Source organism: Homo sapiens, chromosome 8 (genome assembly GCF_000001405.40).
Source record: "Homo sapiens chromosome 8, GRCh38.p14 Primary Assembly".
Lineage (NCBI taxonomy): Eukaryota > Metazoa > Chordata > Mammalia > Primates > Hominidae > Homo > Homo sapiens.
Genome location: NC_000008.11, coordinates 49,655,146 through 49,657,838, shown reverse-complemented (window position 1 = coordinate 49,657,838; position 2,693 = coordinate 49,655,146). Strand labels below are relative to the sequence as shown.

At 46.9% G+C, this 2,693-nt stretch overlaps 1 annotated feature.

Moving 5' to 3' along the window:
* Nucleotides 623-1,822: an enhancer, noted in NCBI's record as "BRD4-independent group 4 enhancer chr8:50568577-50569776 (GRCh37/hg19 assembly coordinates)". NCBI's record gives its function as "activates an origin of replication core promoter dependent on BRD2, P300/CBP, MED14 and CDK7 cofactors, and independent of BRD4, by STARR-seq in HCT116 cells {active_cell/tissue: HCT116}" and the evidence as "EXISTENCE:reporter gene assay evidence [ECO:0000049][PMID:35650434]".

Genomic DNA, 2,693 nt, shown 5'->3' with positions numbered 1-2,693 from the left:
TGTCAAGTGATCTGCTTGCTTCCACCTCCCAGAGTGTTGGGATTACAGGCATGAGCCACTGCACCTGACCTGGGCTTCTTAATACATAAAATATTGATGCTAGACTCCTTCGGATTTTGCTTCAAGATAAAACATATATGTAACATGAAAAAATATTACATGGAGTGAGACCCTGTTGCCTAGGCTGGAGTGAAGTGGTGTGATTATAGCTCACTGCAGCCTCAGTTTTCTGGGCTCAAGTGACCATCCCACCTCAGCCTCCCAAGTAGCTGGAACCACAGGCATGCACCACCACATCTGGCTAATTTATTATTTATTTATTTATTTATTTTTTGCTCTGTTGCTCAGGCTGGCGTTCAGTGGTGTAATCTCAATTCACTGCAGCTTTGACCTTAGGGGCTTAAGTGATTTCCCCAACTCAGCCTCCTGAGTAGCTGGGACTACAGATGTGTGCCATCGCACCCAGCTAATTTTTGTACTTTTTGTAGAGACAGGTGATATGGATAGAGTCTGTGTCCCTGCCCAAATATCATCTTGAATTGTAATCCCCAGTGTTGAAGCTGGGGTCTGATGAGAGGTTACTGGATCATGGAGACAGAGTTATCAGGGATGTGTTAGCACCATCCCCTCTGTGCTGTTCTTGTGATAGTGAGTAAGTGAGTTATCATGACATCAGGTTGTTTAAAAGTGTGTAGTACCTTTCCCCTCACTATCTTGCTCCTGCTGCACCATGTAAGACACCTGGGTCGCCATTCACTTTCTACAATGTTTGCAAGTTTCTTGAGGCCTTCCCAGAAGCAGAAGTTGCTATGCTTCTTGAATAGCCTGCAGAAATGAGAGGTGAAGATGGCTGGGCTTCTGGGTCAGGTGGGGACTTGGAGAACTTTTCTGTCTAGCTAAAGGATTGTAAATGCACCAATCAACACTCTGTGTCTAGCTAAAGGTTTGTAAACACACCAATCAGCACTCTGTCAAAATGGACCAATCAGCTCTCTGTAACATGGACCAATCAGCTCTCTCTAAAATGGACCAATCAACAGGATGTGGGTGGGGCCAAATAAGGGAATAAAAGCAGGCCACTCCAGCCAGCAGTGGCAACCTGCTTGGGTCTCCTTCCACACTGTGGAAGCTTTGTTCTTTCGCTCTTTGCAGTAAATCTTGCTGCTGCTCACTCTTTGGGTCTGTGCTGCCTTTATGAGCTGTAACACTCACCGCATAAGTCTGCAGCTTCACTCCTGAGGCCAGTGAGACCACGAACCCACTGGAAGGAATGAACAACTCCAGACGTGCTGCCTTTAAAAACTGTAACACTCACCACGAGGGTGTGCAGCTTCATTCTTGAAGTCAGCGAGTCCAAGAACTCACGAATTCTGGACACATTTTGGCAACCATGAAGGGACAATCGACTATCGCCAAATGGTGAGCACCATCGGACGGACCCCTTTCACTTGCTATTCTGTCCTATTTTTCCTTAGAATTCAGGGGCTAAATACCGGGCCCCTGTTGGCCAGTTAAAAGTGACTAGCAAGGCCGCTGGACTAAAAACATGGGTGTCAGGCTTTCTGGGAAAGGGCTCTCTAACAACCCCTGACTCTTCGGAGTTGGGAGCATTGGTTTGCCTGGAACCAGCTTCCGCTTTTCCTGTACTTATGTGCTGAGCCGAGGCTCGACAGAGAGGAAAGCCATTCAGCTCCGGGGTCCTGACAAGTTGGTTATCCTGCGGCCATGAGTGGAACTCTCAAAGGCATGTCGCCCAAGTGAGACTCGCCCGTCTATTCTATCTACGCTGACCCTTACCTCCTGGGTCCTAATGCCTGCCAGACAAACTTACTCTCACCTCTCTTCTCTGAGGCTAGTCCCGATTCTAAAAATCACTCCCTGTCTCTGGTGCTTTTGTAGGTTCTCCTGGAAGAATGACTTCTAGTAGAAACTCCAGGACTCTATTCCCTTCTTTAGGAACCTGGGCTCACCGATCACAAAGACATAATTTTTGCCCAAAGCCCCATCATAGGGGGGACTACCTGGAATTTTAGGATCCCTCCTCAGACTAGCAGGCCTAAAAAAAGCTATTCCTGAAGCTAGGATATGGGGAGCCTCGGAAATTGTATCCTTCCAATTCATATAAATGAGGACAAAAGGAATCACTCTTCCAACTCTGGAGATCCCTTCCTTCCCTCAGTGTATGGTCCTCCACTTCATTTTTGGGGTGTAACATCTTTATAGGACACGGGTACAGTCCCAATACTAACAGGAGAATGCTTAGGACTCTAACAGGTCAGTAAGGGCCACTAAATCCAATTTTTCTCAGTCCTCCTTGTGGTCTAGAAGAATAGGCAAGGGTGCAGGCTTTCAAAAATGTGTCAGTAGGGGCCACTAAATCCAACCTTCCTCAGTCCTCCTTGTGGTCTGGGAGGAAAACTAGTGTTTCTGCTGCTGCGTCAGTGAGTGCAACTATTCCAATCAACAGAGTCCAGGGACAGTTGTGGGTTCTTGGTCAGAGGGAGAAACAAAACTAACCAAAACTGTGGGTGGTTTTGTCTTTCAGATGGGAAACACACAGGCATAAACAGGCTTACCCTTGAAATGCATCCTAAGCCATTGGGACCAATTTGACCCACAAACCCTGAAAAAAACAGAGCTCATTTTTTTCTGCACTACATCCTGGCCCCAATATTCTCTCTCTGATGGGGAAA